Here is a 20,250-nt window from a genome sequence, read left to right on the forward strand (position 1 = left end):
GCCTGTAGTTCCAGCTACTCGGGAGGCGGAGGCAGGAGAATGGCGTGCACCCAGGAGGCAGAGCTTGCAGTGAGCCGAGATCGCGCCACTGCACTCCAGCCTGGGCGACAGAGCAAGACTCTGTCTCAAAAAAAAAAAAAAAAAAGACTTCATTAAATAAAGCACAGTATAAATGGGACAACTCCCTTGAAGAAGAAAAAAGGGGGTGGGAGAAGTAAAATATAATGAGAAAGAAATGTAGACTACAGCGAATTTTTAATCTAGCCTTTTATGGTTCTTAGGCATCAAGACCTCTGGCCCAATTTTGACCCAGTTGAGATGAGAAATTTGAAGAGAGGATGAGAAAAACTCAAATCATCTCATAGCCTTTGAAAGACAGGCTCTGAAAAAACATATTGATTGGTATCACTATTTTTTGACTTCTGAATAATCCAAATAGACTTTTAATTAGCCCATTTAGAAGTTGTGGGAAATAAGGAAGTTTTCCTAAGGCTGCTGTAGTGTTGATCTTCTAGTAGAGATCAAGCTGTTTGAATTTTTGATGAAGAGTTATGCCCCCAAGCATGATGGGTTTTCTCTGCCTTGGCAGAACTACCCAATACTCTTAGATGATGTGTGTCTATCCCTTAAACTTCAGCTTTGAGAAGCATTGGAAAAAATGTGTCAGCCCACCAAATTGTCACAAGCCTCCTGGTCCTAGTAGAACAAATTCTGCAATGTGGGGCCCCATCCCTCAACAGTTTTAGGTTGGATCTCTGCAAACTTTGGCCATCACTTGCATATGTTTTCTCTCTGCAGACATTTGTTTAGAACACTCCACATCTGCTTTTGTCTCCAAAGTCCCACAAGCATAATTTATTCAATCCTATATAAAAATGGCATGAAATGAGTATGACGAAACCTGCTGTAATGATGACCAATGAGTTCTTTCCCACCACCACCTGATATAATTGGCATCAGCTACAGCCCAGTTCCACTCATTTTTTCCCAGGAGTGACCTCAGCGTAAGTACATTTCTCCTCTTCAGGCTTAAATTTGATTCTTGTGGAATGTGTAGTTAAAGTCTTGATGAGTTGAGAAGAAGGAAATGAGGGAAAGGAAAATAAGTAATTGTCACCAGTTGGTAACCTCGTAAACTTGGCTTTTCATGGGACTCATAAAATAGCGTGCAGAGTGTATTCAACTATAGTTATTCCCTTAGAAACTCCAGACATATTCAAGCATGTTCATATATTAGGGTAGCTCTACATAGTTGAAGGAGAAAAAACATTTTCAGTTTACATCTTTAATTTGAAACAGATTTTGCTTATATGGTAGTTTAATTGTGGATAACCTTTCACATCTAGTTTTGTTACAGTTGGTTTTAGTGATGGTCTTTATAACACAGAGATCTATCTGATTCTTAGATACATTTTTCATATATTTGGCTAATTGGGAAATCAGTGAAATTGGTCTCTATTCATTTGTGGATTTTGTGGATAGTTATTCTTCTCTTTGACATACTTTTGTCTCCCAGTGACTGATTATAGCTTCAGCCTTACCTGTAAAGGCTTTATCTGTCAGATACTTGGCATCCTAATGAGGAAGGACAATTAGCAACTTTACATAGCACTTCTGTGTTTCTTTCGCCAGGGTTAATAGGTCAGCCTTTGGCCTTGCTCAAATCTATTCGCTCAAGAAGTTATGAAACTCTTTTTTGGGTTTAGAGTGGTAGGGCCCTCAAGAATCTCTGATTTTTGATATTAACACCCTTGTCGTTTTCTCACCCAGAATGAATAGGGCATTGTGGACATGATGGAATGTGAATTCCAAGGCTAGGTCATAAAAATACATTGAGTCTTCCACCTTGCTCTTTCTTGGATATTTGTACTGAGGGAAGCCAGCTGTCATATCCTAAGGGCACTCAAGCAGCCTGTGGAGAGCTCTAGAATTGAGACCTCCTACCAATAGCCAGCAAATAGCTGAGGCTTTCTGCCACAACCATGTGAGTGAACCATCTTAGAAGAGGATCCTCCAGCCCCAGTTAAGTCTTCAGATGACTGCAGCGCCAGCTAACATTTGGATTACAACCTTATGAGATACCCAAGGCCAAAACTACATAGCTAAACTGCTCCTGAATTTCTGACTCCAGCAACTGTGTGAGATAATAAATGCTTGTTGTTGTTTTAGGACACTAATTTTTGAGGTCATTGTTTAAGCAACAATAAATAACTAATATAGGAATCAACGTTTGTGAAATTCAAACATGGTCTGGTTTACTAGTGGCCAAACTCAAGGACGAAATTTTCAAATTAAGTTTTTAAATAAACAGTCATCCTTAAAAATAGAAGGCTAAAGAGAAAAATAATTCATGAAAGTTGCACTTTTTCTTCGTGTCGTTTTTTGTTTGTTTTTGGTTTGTTGTTGTTGTTGTTTTTTGAGACAGAGGCTTGCTCTGTCGCCCAGGCTGGAATGCAGTGGCACCATCTCGGCTCACTGCAACCTCCACCTCCTGGGCTCAAGTGATTCTCCCACTTCAGCCTCCCGAGCAGCTGGGATTACAGGTGCCTGCCACCATGCCTGGCTAATTTTTGTATTTTTATTAGAGACAGGGTTTCACCATGTTGGCCAGGCTGATCTTGAACTCCTGACCTCAGGTGATCCGCCCACCTCGGCCTCCCAGAGTGCTGAGATTACAGGTGTGAGCCACCGTGCCCGGCCTGTTTGTTTTATTAACTTCGTCAGTCACCAAAAAGGGGGGGAAAAGTTGAAAAGGGACTGCCTGTGTTAGAACACAACCAAAATGTCCCAAGCCTTGACTTGTTAGTATTGAGAAGAAGGAATAGAGGTTTGTTCCCATGTTACCAAATAAACAACTCCCAGGAATATTTGGAGGAACCTGGCACCTGGGCAGTCAGCAGAAACATGTGTTTACTTGACTCCTTCGGTGTACTAAAAGGGAATCTTGGTCTCTTCAGATTCCAGGTGGAGAGTGCTTTGGAGCCCCAACTGATACAGGCCCCCAGTTTTGTTGCTGTCTCCCTCATACCTAATAAACCTTACTGCAAAATTGAAGGAAGAGAGCAGAAAATTTTGAGTATGTGAGAATGGCAGAGACTAAAGTAGCTTATTCAGATGCTGATGTAAAGGATTGGGTACTTTTTGACCAGTTGATTGATAAAAGAATCACCTTGTGGAATACGGGTTGTGTATGGAGTTTTGAAGAATGAAGGGGAACCCAGGGTTGTGCTAAGAGTTGTTGGTGCTTATTGAGAAGTCCCAGTCAGAAATAATGCAAGTACCTTTCTAGCACCAATGAGAAGGTTCTTAAGGGTATCTGCTCCTCAGTGGCCTATACTAGACATATCAGACATATGGACAAGTGTGATTCCCAAAATATTGGGGATACTGATAAATGAATGCCTACTTTTTTAAATGTAGTAAATTAGCATACAGTAAAATGTACTTGTTGTGGGGGGAGTTTTACTGTTCAGTGAGTTTCCATATACATGCATATTTATTTACCACCGTAATCAGGATACAGAGCAGTTCCATCACCAAAAAACTCCTTCATACTACCTATATGTGGTCATACCCTCCTCTCTCCTTACTACTACCAACCACTGATTTGTTTTGTCTTTTCAAGAATATTATATAAATATATGTAAGTGCATATATACAGCATGTAACCGCTGAGACTGGTTTCTGTCACTCAGGATAATGCCTTTGAGATTCATCTAACTTGCTGCATGCATCAATAGCTCACTTGGTTTTTGCTAAGTTGTATTCCGTTGTTTGAATGTACCACAGGTTTTTTTTTAATCCATTCACACATTGAAGCAAGTTTCAGCTTTTTTTTTCCAGTTTTGGTGATTATAAATAGAACTACTAAATACATTGATGTACAGGTTTTTATGTGAACATAAGTTTTCATTTCTCTGGGATAAATACATAGGAGTGGGTCATATGATAATGTGATAATACCTAGTACTGGGTCATATGATAAGTCTATTTTTATGTTTTACTTTAAATGAAACTGTCAAACTGTTTTCCAGAATGGTTGTGCCATTTTGCATTCCCACTGGTAATGTATGAGAGTGCCACTTGTTCTACTTCTTTACTAGCACTTGGTATTGTTACTACTTTTCTTTTAATTTTAGCCATTCTAATAGGTGTGTAGTGTTATAGTGATTTTAATTTTACATTTTCCTAATGGCTAATTGTATGGATCATCTTTTCATATGTTCAACTGTCTACTTTTTATTTTGCAAAGTAAGGACATTCAAAACTTAAATATAAAAGGACATTATAACATCAAAAAGTTAATAAATGTAGCTTCATGAAAAGTTTACCACATTGTCTTAATTATTTTACCTTAGGCCACTTGAAATTTGGTTGTGAATAGGCATTGGTCTATAGTACTGACAAGCCCCTAATGTCTAGGACCAGTTCTTTTGGCATTGGCATTATTGTAAGAATTCAGGGATCAGCATAGTAGTTCCTCTTGCTGAAGGGTCTTACTAGATAAATCTTCATTGGCTCTATGCCATTTACAGGGTCACATGCAAACTTTCTGGCATGATAGTTGGGATACTTTATAGTTTTTCATCCCACTACCATTTTTTCTTTATCTCCTACTATTCTCTCTACTACTTTGTTTCTAGCCACCTCACTTACTTTACTGTCCCCCATACAATCCCCAGTTTCATCCTTCATCTGGAATGCCCATCAAGCCTATTCAGATCCTACTTATTCTTCAAGCTGTTATTCAGTGTTTCACCAAGTATATTCTGAGGAAATCCTGCATTGGAATATTCTAGAATTATGAAATGTGCAGATTCCTGGGCCCTGCTCTGGACTTACTGAATTAGACTTTCTGGGGATGGGCCCCAGGAACTGAAATTCCAACAAGTGTCCAGTATGTGATCCTTAGTCACAACTGAATATGAGAACCCCTGAATCTAGCTGAAGTCCTATCTTTGTGAAGCCGTCATATGTGAGTCCTACTCCATAGTGATTTCACCTTTCTTTTAAGGATTGTCAAACTTTCTTCCTATTTAAATTTGTCAGCAGCACTCATTTTGACATTTCATCTATTATTTAAATGTTAAAGTGTGATTTAGTTTATAAGCCACTGAAGAATAGGAATTCATATCCCGTTTAACATGTAGCATAATATAGTTTAATATAATGCACACAAAGTCTATATACACACACACACACACACACACACACACACACACACACACACACACACACATACATATTATTTCCATCCTTTTTGGTAGTGGAGTTCTGAGATTCAAGGAGAACCACAATTGTCTCTAATCATTTTTTCAAAGGCATAGTTCTGTGAACAATGATGATGTAAAGCTTTGGGAATCTTGCCTTTGATTTGAGATATTTTCTACTCCCAGTGCTAAACTGAATTAAGCCTTTGAAAATCCCATTGACACTTTAAAAAATCTTAAATATTTGTTATATGAAGGGGTGGTAGTGTCTCATTGCTTTTGTAGTGTGTTGACTAGCCAAGCACGCTTGTCTTTGAAACATACCATGTTGATTCCACTTGCTCCTCAGTGCTTTATTCATGCCATCTAAGTTTCGTATACTAACCTCTCTTTCTGCTGAAATTTTTCCCATTATTCAAGTCCCACAGCAATTCTCAACTCCTCTATAAAACTTACTGTTACAACTTGAGCCTACAAGGATTTCTCTCTTCTGTGAACTCCTAGTACTTCCTGCCTATAATTCTCATTTGGCACTTAACGTATACATTGTCTGGTAACATACTGTTGTTTTCTTGCTCCACTCTTATTATTTAACTTTCCATGGGTGAATGTCATGCTTTGCAAGCTAGCCACGATTCCTCGATGTTCAGGAACTTTTTTAAAAATATGTTTTTCTAGTGTAGAAAAAAAATGAAGAATTTAAGTAGTTGTAGCAATACATTGACCTTTATAGAAACAACTGTTGGTGGTGGAAGCTGACAGAGGATGTTGCAATGCTAGTTTCTTAAAGAGGCAACCAGTGTGAAAATCAATATTATACAAAGGCAGATGTATTGGGATATGACTTATGTACAACTTTAAATAATGTTTTTTTACTCCATGCTTGTAAATATATTCATAATTTGCAGTACATAATGATTAATGATGTGAGGGTGTGATTAAGGCCATATCTATACCTGACCTGCATACTGATCCATGGCAGGCATGACCAAACTGCTCGCTTGCCATCTTTATAATCAATATTAATTGTTGTGGCTGAATCCATCATGTGATGAGTCCCATTGGTTGTTAAGAAATCCTTAAAAACAGATGGCCAGTACCTTGGTCTGTTGATTCCACGCATGTAGTTGTGGTTTTATATACTGAAGGACAGATGACAGCATACAACACCTCTGTGGCTTATTAGTAGAGTTGGTCTGATTCAGAGGATACCTGGACTTTTTGCCCTTTTACAAGGTCTGAAGAAGTAGGAATGGTTTGAGCCTCTGTCATTTTCTCAAATTCCCTTTGGTTCAGAGGCTACTTATCCAGTGCAGAAAGATAGAAGGCACCCTTAGCTTTTACCTTTCTCCAACTCATTTAATCCAATCAGGAACCTAGTTCTGTGCAGCCTACCCTTATAACATCTCTTGAGTCCATGCTGTATTTCTATCCTTACTACTGCTGCCTTATTTCAAGGTTTCTTATATCACTAAGATTAACTGTTTCACTACCTACAGTCTCATCTGCTTCCAATATATATTCCATAGTCATTGGGAGGGATCATGTTATTCTTCCTTAAAATGTTTCCATGGCTTCTATTGCTTAAATGATAAAATGTAGTCTTTAGGATGGCATCCAAAGCCCTCCATTGTCTGGCCACTGCCTGACTTTCCACAGTCATCTCTGGAGAATCCCATTTGTATTCTCTAGCCACATTGAATTAGTTCCTGGATGTATCATGCTGTTTTATGCCTTCATGCTTTTGCACATACTACATGTTATGCTTGGAATGCTCTTTTCCAGTTTATCATTCTACCCCATAAAGGCTCTGAACAAGTACTATTTTACACTCTTCTATTATTTGTGCCTCCACTGCTTCCTATACACATTTCCATCTTAGCCCCTGTGAAATCTTATTTGTTTATATGTCTGACTACCCCAAATAGACTATAAACTTCTTTTGGAGGGGGGTTATAAAAGTAAAATTTATTTAGAATGACAAAGAAATTATAACAAATTATAAATCTTCAAACATTTACACCAAAACGTCACAAAATCTAGATCAAGGGTTTGTGTGTGTGTGTGTGTGTGTGTGTGCACGTGTGTGTATAACTTTTGTAAATTTTCCTGAAGCAAATAGGATATCTTTTGAATGTTGGCACTCTCAGATGAAACTAAGTAGAGATCAGGTCTTCTCACCCTGCTCAATTTCTTCCTTCATGGCTTCTCACTGTAACTATTACTTTTATTCTCTTTTGTGCTTATGCATTTAAAATTTTCTGCATTTTATCAATATGTTCTAACTAAATTTAACCAGTTTCTATTGAAAGAGCAATGAAATAAAAGCCAATTTAATCACACATATTATAACTTATGCCAACAATGCTTTGGATGTATTCACCTATGTGTGCATCTGTTCTTTTTCAGCTCTCATTTATTTGTTGATTAGATTTAAAACCACTGTGCCTTGTGCACATTGGCATCACATCCCACTTGGAAGAGAAAAATCCTCAGTAGATATACAATGATGTAAATCTTGTGACTCTATCAAATGAACAGGTTTCAGTAACATCTTTCCACCTGTTTGGCTAGTTCCAAGAACTTTTATTTCTCCCTTTTATACAACTGGAAATGAAGGCAGAGAATGATAAACGAACTGGGTTCCTATAGTCCAACACAGTGATTCTCTCTTTGGTCCAGTGTCATCCCTATCATCTGGAAACTTAGAAATGCAGATTCCCAGCCACATCCCATATCTACTGAATCAAAAACTCTAAAATGTAGAGGGAGAGGCAGCAATATGTAATTTAACATGAAGTCAAGATGATTCTGATGCATGCTAAGTTTGAAAAGCACGGGAACTTAAAGATCCTAGTATGCTATTGATTGCCCTGTTTTCTCCTTGTTCTGAAATTAATGTATAAGGCATGTTATATCCTACAGAAAAATGCCTTAGTGGTATTCTATCATTATGCAAAACTGAAAATCAAGGGAGATCTTTGTGTGCCCTCCTTCACGGAGGGTAGGAAGTTTGGCATTATAGCAGATTATAGATCTACAGAGACGGAGTTTCCCTCTTGTTGCCCAGGATGGAGTGCAATGGCACAATCTCAGCTCACCGCAACCTCCGCTTCCTGGGTTCAAGTGATTCTCCTGCCTTAGCTTCCCAAGTAACTGGGATTACAGGCATGTGCCACCATGCCTGGCTAATATTGTATTTTTAGTAGAGACGGGGTTTCTCCATGTTGGTCAGGCTGGTCTCGAACTCCCTACCTCAGGTGATCCACCCACCTCAGCCTCCCAAAGTGATTTTTAAAATACCCTTTTAAGTACATGGTTGAACTGGCCCAAAATTAAATAACATCTCTAAAAGCTACAAATAATCAGACATCACAAATACAGAGCAGTAAACTAGGGGTAGTGAGCTACTATTTGGCATTTGTCTGAGTATATCTGCTGATCTCCGTTGGCCTTTAGTTCGGTTTTAATGGGCCACTCAAGTTTGGGAGCAGAAGATAAAACTAGAGACCTGAGAAAGGTGGGAGGTCAGATTGGAGAGCCCCGAATTAAGCCAAGATTTCCAAAGGGTCACAGGCATATTGGATGAACTAGGAAAAGAAATCCTTGCAGATGGAGCAATGGAAATACATGCCTGTCTCAGTCTTGGTGCTGACTGGAGTGAGAAAAAAAAATTCTCCACTGAGATTTCCTAATCACAAGCCCACACTCAAAAAAAGGTTGAGACTAGAATTCCCACTGCTGGTGTGGCCTGAAAAACCCACAGAGATATCTGGAACTTTAAACATCTCCCACATTGGTACTGCTTTCCAAGCACCTCATAGATATAATGCAAATCATATTTTGAAGAATTCATTTAAACACAAGCTTCAAATAATTCCTACAGATAAAGTTCCCATGAACATGAATTCACAATAAAAAATCACACAATTTATGAAGAAGTAAGCCATTATAAGTGACTAAGCAGAAATAAATAGCAAACTACAGGAGCAGATCTACAAATACAACAGAAATTATCAGATAACAGACTATAAAATAATTGGCATAATATAGTTAAATAAAAGAAGGCCCTGAGGTATGATGAAGGTATAGGAGACTATCAAATGTGACAGGCAAATTTGAAAAAGAACCAAGTAGAATATCTGTAAATGAAAAATATAATCATTAAAATTAGAAATTCCATAGATTAAATAGATTAGACACAGATGAAGAGAGAATGAGGAATTGAAATAAATTATACAGAATGTAACACAGAGAACAAAGAGGTGGAAAACAGGCTAGGTTAAGAAACATGGAGGATAGAATGAGAAAGGTCTACCATGTGTTTAATTGGAGTTCCAGAGAGATAAAATGGGGGAAAGGCAATATTTAAAGAGAGGATGACTGAAATTTTCCCAAAATTGATGAACAGTACCCAATTTAGGATTTTCAATAAGTTCTAAGCAAGTTAAATTAAAAATCGTAATCCAGGCTTAGACATATTGTGGTGAAAGTATGAAACACCCAAATCAGAGAAAAGCTCAACATTAGCCAGGCAAAAAAGATTATACTTAGAAGAAAGACAACTAAACTCAATAAAATGACAGCTAACTGACAGCAACAGTGGAAGCCAGAAGAAATTGTGATAGTATCTTCCATAGTCAATGACAGTAGTCAGCAAATGTTTTCTGTAAAAAGCGCAATAATAATTATTTTAGGCTTTGCGGGCCATGTACAGTCTTTGTTGCATACTCCTCTGTTTGTTTTTTGTTTGTTTGTTTGTTTTTGGTTTCTTTCACAACACTTTCAAATATAAAAACAATTCTTAGCTCAAGGGTCACACCGAAACACACTGCAGGCCAGATTTGGCCTATAGGTCATAGTTTGCTTACCCTAATCTGTGAGATAATAACTGTTGTTTTGTTCATTTTATTTTATGGTCAGGGGTACATGTGCAGGTTTGTTAGGCAAACTTGTGTCATGGGGGTTTATTATATAGATTATTTCGTCACTCAGGTATTAAGCCTATTACTCAACAGTTATTTTTCCTAATCCTTTCCCTTCTCCCACCCTCCACCCTCCACCTTCCGACAGGCCCCACTGTGGTTTGTTTTGTTTTGTTTTGTTTGAGATGGAATCTCACTCTGTCGCCCAGGCTGGAGTGCAGTGATACCATCTCAGCTCAATGCAGCCTCTGCCTCCTGGGTTCAAGCGATTCTCCAGTCTCAGCCTCCCGTGTAGCTGCGATTATAGGCACCTGCCACCATGCCCAGCTAATTTTTGTATTTTTAGTAGAGACAGGGTTTCACCATGTTGGCCAGGCTGGTCTTGAACTCCTCACCTCAGGTTATCTGCCCATCTCAGCCTCCCAAAGTGCTGGGATTACAGGCATGAGTCTCAGTGTGTATTGTTCCCCTCTATGTGTCCATGTGTTGTCATCATTTAGCTCCCAATTATAGATAAGAACATGTGATATTTTGGTTTTCTGTTCCTGCATTAGTTTGCTTAGGATAAAGGCTTCCAGCTCCATCCATTTTCCTGCAAAGGACATGATCTCATTCTTTTTATGGCTGCAAGTATTTCACGGTGTATAGATACCACATTTTCTTTATCCAGTCTATCACTGATGGACATTTAGATTGGGTCCATGTCTTTGCTGTTGTGAATAGTGCTGCAATGAACATACGCATGCATGTGTCTTTATAATAGAACAATTTATATTCCTTTGGGTATATACCCAGTAATGGGATTGCTGGGTCAAATGTATTTCTGTCTTTAGGTCTTTGAGGAATCACCACACTGTCTTCCACAGTGGTTGAACTAATTTACACTCCCACCAACAGTGTATAAGCATTCCTTTTTCTCCACAACCTTGCCAGCATGTTATTTTTTTACTTTTTTACTTTTTCATGATAGCTATTCTGATTGATGTGAGATGACATGTCATTGTGGTTTTGATTTGCATTTCCCTAATGATCAGTGATGCTGAGCTTTTTTTTTCACATGATTTTTGGCAGTGTATATGTCTTTTGAAAAGTGTCTGTTTATATCCTTTGCCCACTCTTTCATGAAGTTGGTTGTTTTCTTATAATTTTAAGTTCCTTATAGATGCAGATATTACACCTTTGTCAGATGCATGGTTTGCAAAAAATTTCTCCCATTCCGTAGGTTGCCTGTTCACTCGGTTGATAGTTTCCTTTGCTCTGCAGAAGCTCTTAAGTTTAATTAGATCACATTTGTCAGTTTTTGCTTTTGTTCCAGTTGCTTTTGGAAAGCAAAGATTTCTTCGTTGTGAAATCTTTGCCTGTTTCTATGTCTTGAATGATATCACCTAAGTTTTCTTCCAGGGTTTGTGTAGTTTTGGGTTTTACATTTAAGTCTTTAATCCATCTTTAATTAATTTTTCTATATAGTATAAGGAAGGAGTCCAGTTTCAATCTTCTGCATATGGCTAGACAGTATTCCCAGCACCATTTATTGAATAAGGAGTCTTTTTTCCATTGCTTATTTTTGTCAGGTTTGTGGAAGACCAGATGGTTGTAGGTGTGCGGCCTTATTTCTGGGTTCTCTATTCTGTTCCATTGGTCTACATGTCTGTACTTATACCAGTACCATGCTATTTTGCTTGCTGTAGCCCCATAGTATAGTTTGAAGTCAGATAGCATGTTACCTGCAGCTTTGTTCTTTTTGCTTAAGATTGTCTTGTATATTCGGGGTCTTTTCTGGTTCTATCTGAATTTTAAAATAGTTTTTTTCTAGTTCTGTGAAGAATCTCAATGGTAGTTTATTTTTTTGCTCAGCATTTTATTTATTTTTTATTTATTTCAATAGGTTTTTGGGGAACAGGTGATGTTTGGTTACGTGGATAAGTCCTTTAGTGATGATTTCTGAGATTTTGGTGCACCCATCACCCAAGCAGTATACACTGCACCTTATTTGTAGTCTTTTATCCCTCACCCCTCTCCCACACTTCCCCTCAAGTCCCCAAAGTCCATTGTATCATTCATGTCTTTGCATCCTCATAGCTTAGCTCTCACTTATAAGTGAGAATATACAATGTTTGATTTTCCACTCCTGAGTTACTTCACTTAGAATGATGGTCTCCAACTCCATCCAGGTTGCTGCAAATGCCATTATTTCATTCCTTTTTATGGCTGAGTAGTATTCCATGGTGTGTGTGTGTGTGTGTGTGTGTGTGTGTGTGTGTGTGTGTGTTGCAAATTCTGCTGCTATAAACATGCATGTGTAAGGTTTTTTTTTTCATATAATGTCTTATTTTCCTCGAGGTAGATACCCAGTAGTGGGATTGCTGTATCAAATGGTAGATCTACTTTTAGTTCTTTAAGGAAACTCTATACTCTTTTCCATAAAGGTTATACTAATTGACATTCCCACCAGCACTGTAACAGTGTTCCCTTTTCACCACATCCACACCAACATCTGTTATTTTTTGATTTTTTAATTATGGCCATTCTTGTAGTAGTGAGGTGGTATCACCTGGTGGTTTTGATTTGCATTTCCCTGATAATTTGTGATGTTGAGCATTTTTCATATGTTTGTTGGCTGTTTGTATATCTTCTTTTGATAACTGTCTATTCATGTCCTTAGCTTACTTTTTGATGCGATTATTTTTTTTTTTTGGAGGGGGCTGATTTGTTTGAGTTCTTTGTAGCTTCTGGACGTTAGTCCTTTGTCAGATGCATAGTTTGCAAAGATTTTCTCCCACTCTGTGGGTTGTCTGTTTACTCTGCTAACTGTTCCTCTTGCCATCCAAAAGCTCTTTAGTTTAATTAAGTCCCACCTATTTGACTTTGTTTTTGTTGCATTTGCTTTTGGGTTTTTGGTCATGCAGTCTTTGCCTAAGCCAATGTCTAGAAGGGCTTTTCTGATGTTATCTTCTAGAATTTTTATAGTTTCAGGTCTTAGGTTTAAGTCCTTGATCCATCTTGAGTTGATTTTTTTGTACGAGGTGGGAGACGAGGATCCAATTTCATTTTCCAACATGTGGCTTGCCAATTATCCCAGAACCGGTTGTTGAACAGGGTGTCATTTCCCTACTCTATGTTTTTCTTTGCTTTGTCGAAGATCAGTTGGCTGTAAGTATTTGGCTTTATTTCTGAGTTCTCTATTCTGTTCCATTAATCTATGTGCCTATTTTTATACCAGCACCATGCTGTTTTGGTGACTGTAGCCTTATAGTTTGAAGTCCCGTATTGTGAGGCCTCCAGATGTGTTCTTTTTGCTTAGTGTTGCTTTGGCTATGCAGGCTCTTTTTTGGTTCCATATGAATTTTAGAATTGTTTTTTCTAGTTCTGTGAAAAATGATGAAGGTATTGTTATGGGAATTGCATTGAATTTGTAGATTGCTTTTGGCAGTATGGTCATTTTCACAATATTGATTCTGTCTATCAGTGAGCATTGGATGTGTTTCCATTTTGGCTATGCGGGCTCTTTTTTGGTTCTATATGAATTTTAGGATTGTTTTTTCTCGTTCTGTGAAAAATGATGAAGGTATTGTTATGGGAATTGCATTGAATTTGTAGATTGCTTTTGGCAGTATGGTCATTTTCACAATATTGATTATATCTATCGATGAGCATTGGATGTGTTTCCATTTTGTCTATGTGGGCTCTTTTTTGGTTCCATATGAATTTTAGGATTGTTTGTTTTATCTAGTTCTGTGAAAAACGATGAAGGTCTTGTTATGGGAATTGCATTGAATTTGTAGATTGCTTTTGGCAGTATGGTCATTTTCACAATATTGATTCTATCTATCGATGAGCACTGGATGTGTTTCTATTTGTTTGTGTACTATGATTTCTTTCAGCAGTGCTTTGTAGTTCTCCTTGTAGAGATCTTTCACCTCCTTGGTTAGCTGTATTCCTAGGTATTTTATTCTTTTGTGGCAATTGTGAATGAGATTGCATTCCTGATTTGGCTCTCAGCTTTCCTGTTGTTGGTGTATAGGAATGCTACTGATTTTTGTACATTGATTCTGTACCCTGGGACTTTGCCTAAGTTGTGTATCAGCTTAAGAAGCTTTTGGGCCAAGACTATAGGGTTTTCTAAATACTGGATCACGTCATCTGCACACAGGGATAGTTTGACTTTCTCTTTACCAATTTGGATGCCCTTTATTTCATTATCTTGCCTGATTGCTCTGGCCAGGACTTCTAATACTATGATGAATAGGAGTCAAGAGAGGGCATCCTTGTCTTGTGAGTGTTTTCAAGGGGGATGCTTCCAGCTTTTGCCCATTAAGTATATTGGCTGTGGGTTTGCCATAGATGGCTCTTATTATTTTTAGGTATGCTTCTTCAATACCTAGTTTATTGAGTTTTTTTAAAAACCATGAAGAGGTGTTGAATTTTATTGAAAACCTTTTCTGTATCTATTGTGATAATCATGTGGGTTTTGTCTTTAGTTCTATTTATGTGATGAATCACATTCATTGATCTGTGTCTGTTGAACCAACCTTGCATCCCAGGGATAAAGTATATTTGATCGTGGTGGATAAGCTTTTTGATGTGCTGCTGGAGTTCGTTTGCTGGTATTTTGTTGAGGATTTCTGCATCAATGTTCATCAAGGATATTGGCCTAAAGTTTTCTTTTTTTGATGTTATCTCTGTCAGGTTTTGGTATTCAGATGATGCTAGCCTTGTAGAATGAGTTAGGGAGGAATCCCTCCTCATCATTTTTTTGAAATAGTTTCAGTAGGCATGAAACCAACTCTTCTTTGTACATCTCGTAGAAACCAGCTATGAATCTCTCTGGTCCTGGGCTTTTTTTGGTTGGCAGGCTATTTATTACTGCCTCACTTATGGAGCTTGTTATTGGTCTGTTCAGGGATTCAATTTCTTCCTGGTTCAATCTTGGGAAGGTATGTGTGTCCAAGAATTTAACCATTTCTTCTAGATTTTCTAGTTTATGTGCATAGAGGTGTTCATAATATTCTTTGATGATTGTTTGTATTTCTGTGGGGTCAGTGGTAATATTCCCTTTGTCATTTCTTTTTGTGTTTATTTGAATCTTCTCTCATTTCTTCTTTATTAGTTTAGCTAGTGGTATGTCTATTTAATTAATTTTTTCAAAGAAACAGCTCCTAGATTCATTAATCTTTTAAATGGTTTTCCATGTCTCTATCTCCTTCAGTTCACCTCTGATTTTGGTTATTTCTTGTTTTCTGCTAGCTTTGGGGTTTGTTTGTTCTTGATTCTCAAGTCTTTAAGTTGTGATGTTAGGTTAACTTGAGATCTTTCTAACTTTTTGATGTGGGCATTTAGTGCTATAAATTTACCTCTTAACAGTGCCTTAGCTGTGTCCCAGAGATTCTGGTATGTTGTATCTTTGTTCTCAGTAATTTCAAAGAACTTCTTGATTTTTGCCTTAATTTCATTATTTATCCAAAAGTCATTCAGGAGCAGGTTATTCAATTTCCATGTAATTGTATGGTCTTGAGCCTTAGTTTTGATTTCTAACTTGTTTGTACTGTGGTCCAGGATATTCTTTTGTTATGATTTCGGTTCTTTGGCATTTGCTGAGGAGTGCTTTGCTTACAATTATGCAATCGATTTTAGAGTATGTGCCATGTAGTGATGAGAAGAATGCATATTCTGTAGTTTTTGGGTGGAGAGTTCTGTGGATATCTATCAGGTTCATATGATCCATTGCTGAGTTCATGTCTTGAGTATCTTTGTTAATTTTGTCTCAATGATCTGTCTAATATTGTCAGTGAGGTGTTAAAGTCTCTCACTATTATTGTGTGGGTGTCTAAGTCTCTTTGAAGGTCTCTAAGAACTTGCTTTATGAATCTGGGTACTTCTGTGTTGGGTGCATATATATTTAGGATAGTTAGATCTTCTTTTTCAATAGAACCCTTTACCATTATATAATGCCCTTCCTTGTATTTTTTTTTTTTATCTTTGCTGGTTTAAAGTCTGTTTTATCAGAAATCAGGGTTGCAACAACTGTTGTTTTCTGTTTTCTCTTTGCTTGGTAGATTTTTCTCCATCCCTTTATTTTGAGCCAATGTATGCCATTGCATGTGAGATGGATCTCTTGAAGACAGCATACCAATGGATCTTGGCTCTTTATCCAGCTTGCCACTCTGTGTCTTTTAATTGGGGTGTTTGGCTCATTTACATTTAAGATTAGTATTGATATGTATGGATTTGATCCTGTCATCATGATGTTAGCTGGTTATTTTTCAGACTTGATTATGTGGTTGCTTCATAATGTCACTGGTCTGTGTACTTCAGTGTGTTTTTGTAGTGATTGGTAATGGTCTTTCCTTTCCATATTTAGTGCTCCCTTCAGGAGCTCTTGTAAGGCAGGTTTGGTGGTAACAAATTCCCTCAGCATTTGCTTGTCTGAAAATGACCTTATTTCTCCTTTGCTTATGAAGCTTAGTTTGGCGGGATATGAAATTATGGGTTGGAATTTATTTTCTTTAAGAGTGTTGAATATTGGCTTCCAATCTCTTCTGGCTTATAGGGTTTCTGAGATGTTCACTGGTAATCTGATGATGGGCTTCCCTGTGTAGGTGACCTGACCTTCTCTCTAGCTGCATTTAACATTTTTTCTTTCATTTCAACCTTGGAAAATCTGATGATTATGTGTCTTGGGGTCGACCTTCTCAAAGAGTATCTTCTTGGGGTTCTCTGCATTTCCTTTATTTGAATATTGGCTTCTCTAGTTAGGTTGGGGAAATTCTCATGGATGATATCCTGAAATATGTTTTCCAAGTTGGTTCTATTCTCCCCATCTCTTTCAGGGACACCAATGAGTTGTGTCTTCCCTCTGTCCACTCTCAGCACCTTCACTCTGAAGATCTGTTAAAAGCACACGAGTCGTCTCAGTCCCTCAGTGGGAGCTGTTTCACCTGGCGTCATCTAGTCAGCCATCTTCAATAATAACTGTTAAATGAACATTTATATCCACTGAAACCACTAAGTGAAATAAAGATGTGTTTAGGCAAAGAACTGAGTTTATGACTTATAGATCCTCACCAAGGAAACTTCCAAAAGATGTACTTCACAGAAGAAGAAAATGATCCCAGAAGGAAAATTTGAGATGTAAGACAGAAGAACAAGCAAAGATTGTTTAAACATGTGGGTAAATATAAACAAACATTGGCTTTATAAAACAATAATAATGTCTAATTTGTAAGTTAAAGAAAAACTATATAGAAAGAAAATACCAGACAATAACATGATACAAACCAGCAGGGGATGATCCAAGTTCAGGAAAAGATTGTTCATGAATATACTAACCTTAAAACTTAAATATACATGCTGTAAATTCTAGGGTGAACAATAAAATAGTAGAAATAGAGTAGATAGCTTTCAAAGTAATAGGAGTGAAGGGGATCCTCAATCCATAACAGTGGGGAAAAAGGAATATGAAAAGAAATATAGAAAAAGTGGGAGAAATACAAAGCACAAAATGAGCTGGTATGTATATAATCACAGTAGATGTAAATGGACTAAATTCTCTGGTTAAAAGACAAAAATTATCACACTTACAAAATAAATTTAGGCATATGCTCTCTATAAGACACTCATCTAAAGCATAAGAACACAGGAAGATTAAAACCCAAAGAATAAAAGACAAATACTAACAAAAAACTGAGATACTACATTACTATCAGACAAAATAGAACTTAAGGCAAAAAGAATAAAGTAGGTTTCTACTTAAACATGGTAAATTAACCACGTTTCTGTCATTTAGTAGGAGTTTGTGAGATATTTGAGATAAAAATGATAAGAATCCATGAGGACAAAGAGAACAGGAGAAGAAACTTCAATTCATGAGACAGTTTAATACATATTGAAGAGAATAGGTAGAAGATAGATGACAGCAAGTATTAGTTATCTACGGCTGCATAACAAATTACTCCAAAACTTAGTGGCTTAAAATAACAAGTACTTATCTCACACCATTCCTGAGAGTTAGGAATCTGGAAGTAATTTACTTGGGGATTCCTGGCTCAAAATTTTTCATGAGGTTGCTGTTAGGAAGACTACAGTCATCTGAAGATTTGACTGGGGCTAGAGGATATGCTTCCAAAATGGCTCACTCACATAGCTATTCGCAGGAGTCCTCAGTTCTCCACCACATGGGCCTCTCCACAGGTTGCTTGAGTACCATTATGACATGTTACCTGGCTTCCTCCAGAGCAAGTGATCCAAAAGATAAATGATGAAGACACAGTAGTACCTTTTATGATTTAGTCTCCAAAGTTGCATACCATCATTTCTGCTTTATTCTGTTCATTAGAAGCAAGGCATTAAGTCCAGCTCACATTCAAGAGGGAAATTAGGTTTTATTTATTGAAGGAAGGAATATTTTTAAAAAGTTGTGAACATACATATTTTCTTGAGACAGAGTCTCACTTTGTCACCCATGCTGGAGTGCAGTGGCATGATCATGGCTCACTGCAGTCTCAACCTCCTGGGCTCAAGTGATCCTACTGCTTCAGCCTCCCCAGTAGCTAGGACTACAGTCATGTGCCACCATACCCAGCTATTTTATTTTATTTTTTTGTAGAATCAGGATCTCTCTATGTTGCCCAGTCTAGTCAAACTTCTGGCCTGAGCAAACCCCTCTCCTCGGCCTCCCACAGTCCTGTGATTACAGGTATGAGCCACTGTGCCTGGCCAAGAACATATTTTAAAACAACCACTGAGTGGCAACTGAGTGAAGTAGAGTAACTACAACACAAATGCCTGCATAATGTGGTACTTACTAGAAGGAGCCAATTGGCCCTGTATAACCCCTGAGAGATTTGTAACTTTTAAGCACTGAATCCAACAAGAAGCCAGGGAAATATGCAGGGCTGAAAACAATAGCCTTGACTAAAAATCCATGTAGGAAATAGTTGGACTCTCAGATCCCCTCACTCTAACACACACCACAACAGCACCACCACTAGGAAAGAAAATAGATCTTTATTTTCTGAAAAAAAAAAAAAATAGATGAATATCTCTATGGTAAAATTAATAGATGGTAAACCAGGGGATACTGTCCTGCCCTCAAATTGGTACCCAGTGAATTGTGTGCCTCCATCCTCTCTCTTGCCTCTCCTGCACAGTAAGGAAATACAGGATTCTTAAGAAATTAAATGGCCAGAGAAAGGACCTCCAGATACTGATATTTGAGACTCCCCTAAACAAATAATCACCTTGCCTTCAATGACCCTACCATATGGTCTACCCATTGACAAGCTCCAATCATGTGCACACAACTTTCAGTCAGTTTTTTATTGATTCATTTTTTAACATGAACATGTAGGCAAGGATTACTACATAGCTGAGGAAGCCTCAAACATTAAAGATAGGGTAAACAACAGCCAAACAGAAAAGAAGAACTTGAAAAAAATAGACAATAAAGCAAACAGAAGAAAAGTGTATATATATATATACATATATATGTATATATATGTGTGTGTATATATATATATACATATATGTATATATATGTGTGTATATATGTGTGTGTATATATACATATATGTATATATATGTGTGTATATATGTGTGTATTTATGTGTGTGTGTATATATGTATTTACACATATACATATGTATATGTATGTATGTGCATCTACAGGTGTATGTATGTGTGGGCATATATGTATATACATACATATGTGTATGTATATGTGTGTGTGTGTATATATATTCTGTGCAAAGTGAGAGAGGGAATAGTTGTGTACTAGCTTAAATATTGCACCATTTTGTATTTTGAGATGGTTGAAATGGAACCAAGCACTAAAATTTGAAACGATCTTATACACATGCAAAAACTGGCAGCTTTTCACATGTAGCATTATATTGACATTTTACTTGACTTCCTAAGCCACTAGTGAATTAACCTGGCTTCTTTGTATTCATTATTTTAAAGAATGTATTCATTTGTTTTTACATACTAATGTTAGAAGTAGGTGCTGGGGTAGAGCTAACTTAATTGCTCTCTCTCTCTCTCAGTGTTGTTATTCTTTTTTAAAATGTTTGTTTTATAGAAGTATAATTTACATACAGCAAATGTTGCCTTTTAAATTT

The 20,250-nt window shown here is 37.4% G+C and overlaps 1 protein-coding gene across 8 annotated transcripts in view; it reads left to right on the top strand.

Annotated features, from left to right (window-relative positions):
• Window positions 1–20,250, top strand: part of EDA (ectodysplasin A) — a 423,360-nt gene that overhangs the window by 227,782 nt on the left and 175,328 nt on the right. For 2 of the 8 annotated variants that reach the window (NM_001005613.4, NM_001005610.4), the window contains one exon: window positions 16,963–17,223. The exons of the other annotated variants lie outside the window; for them this stretch is intronic. Coding sequence is in view for 1 of the 2 variants with exons in the window: in NM_001005610.4 (NP_001005610.2) it covers window positions 16,963–16,974 (12 nt within the window). In the remaining variant the exon portion in view is untranslated. Of the gene's footprint in view, window positions 1–16,962; window positions 17,224–20,250 lie in introns of those variants that run through there. 8 annotated transcript variants of the gene reach the window in all.

The sequence above is a fragment of the Homo sapiens genome, chromosome X, assembly GCF_000001405.40.
Source record: "Homo sapiens chromosome X, GRCh38.p14 Primary Assembly".
NCBI lineage: Eukaryota > Metazoa > Chordata > Mammalia > Primates > Hominidae > Homo > Homo sapiens.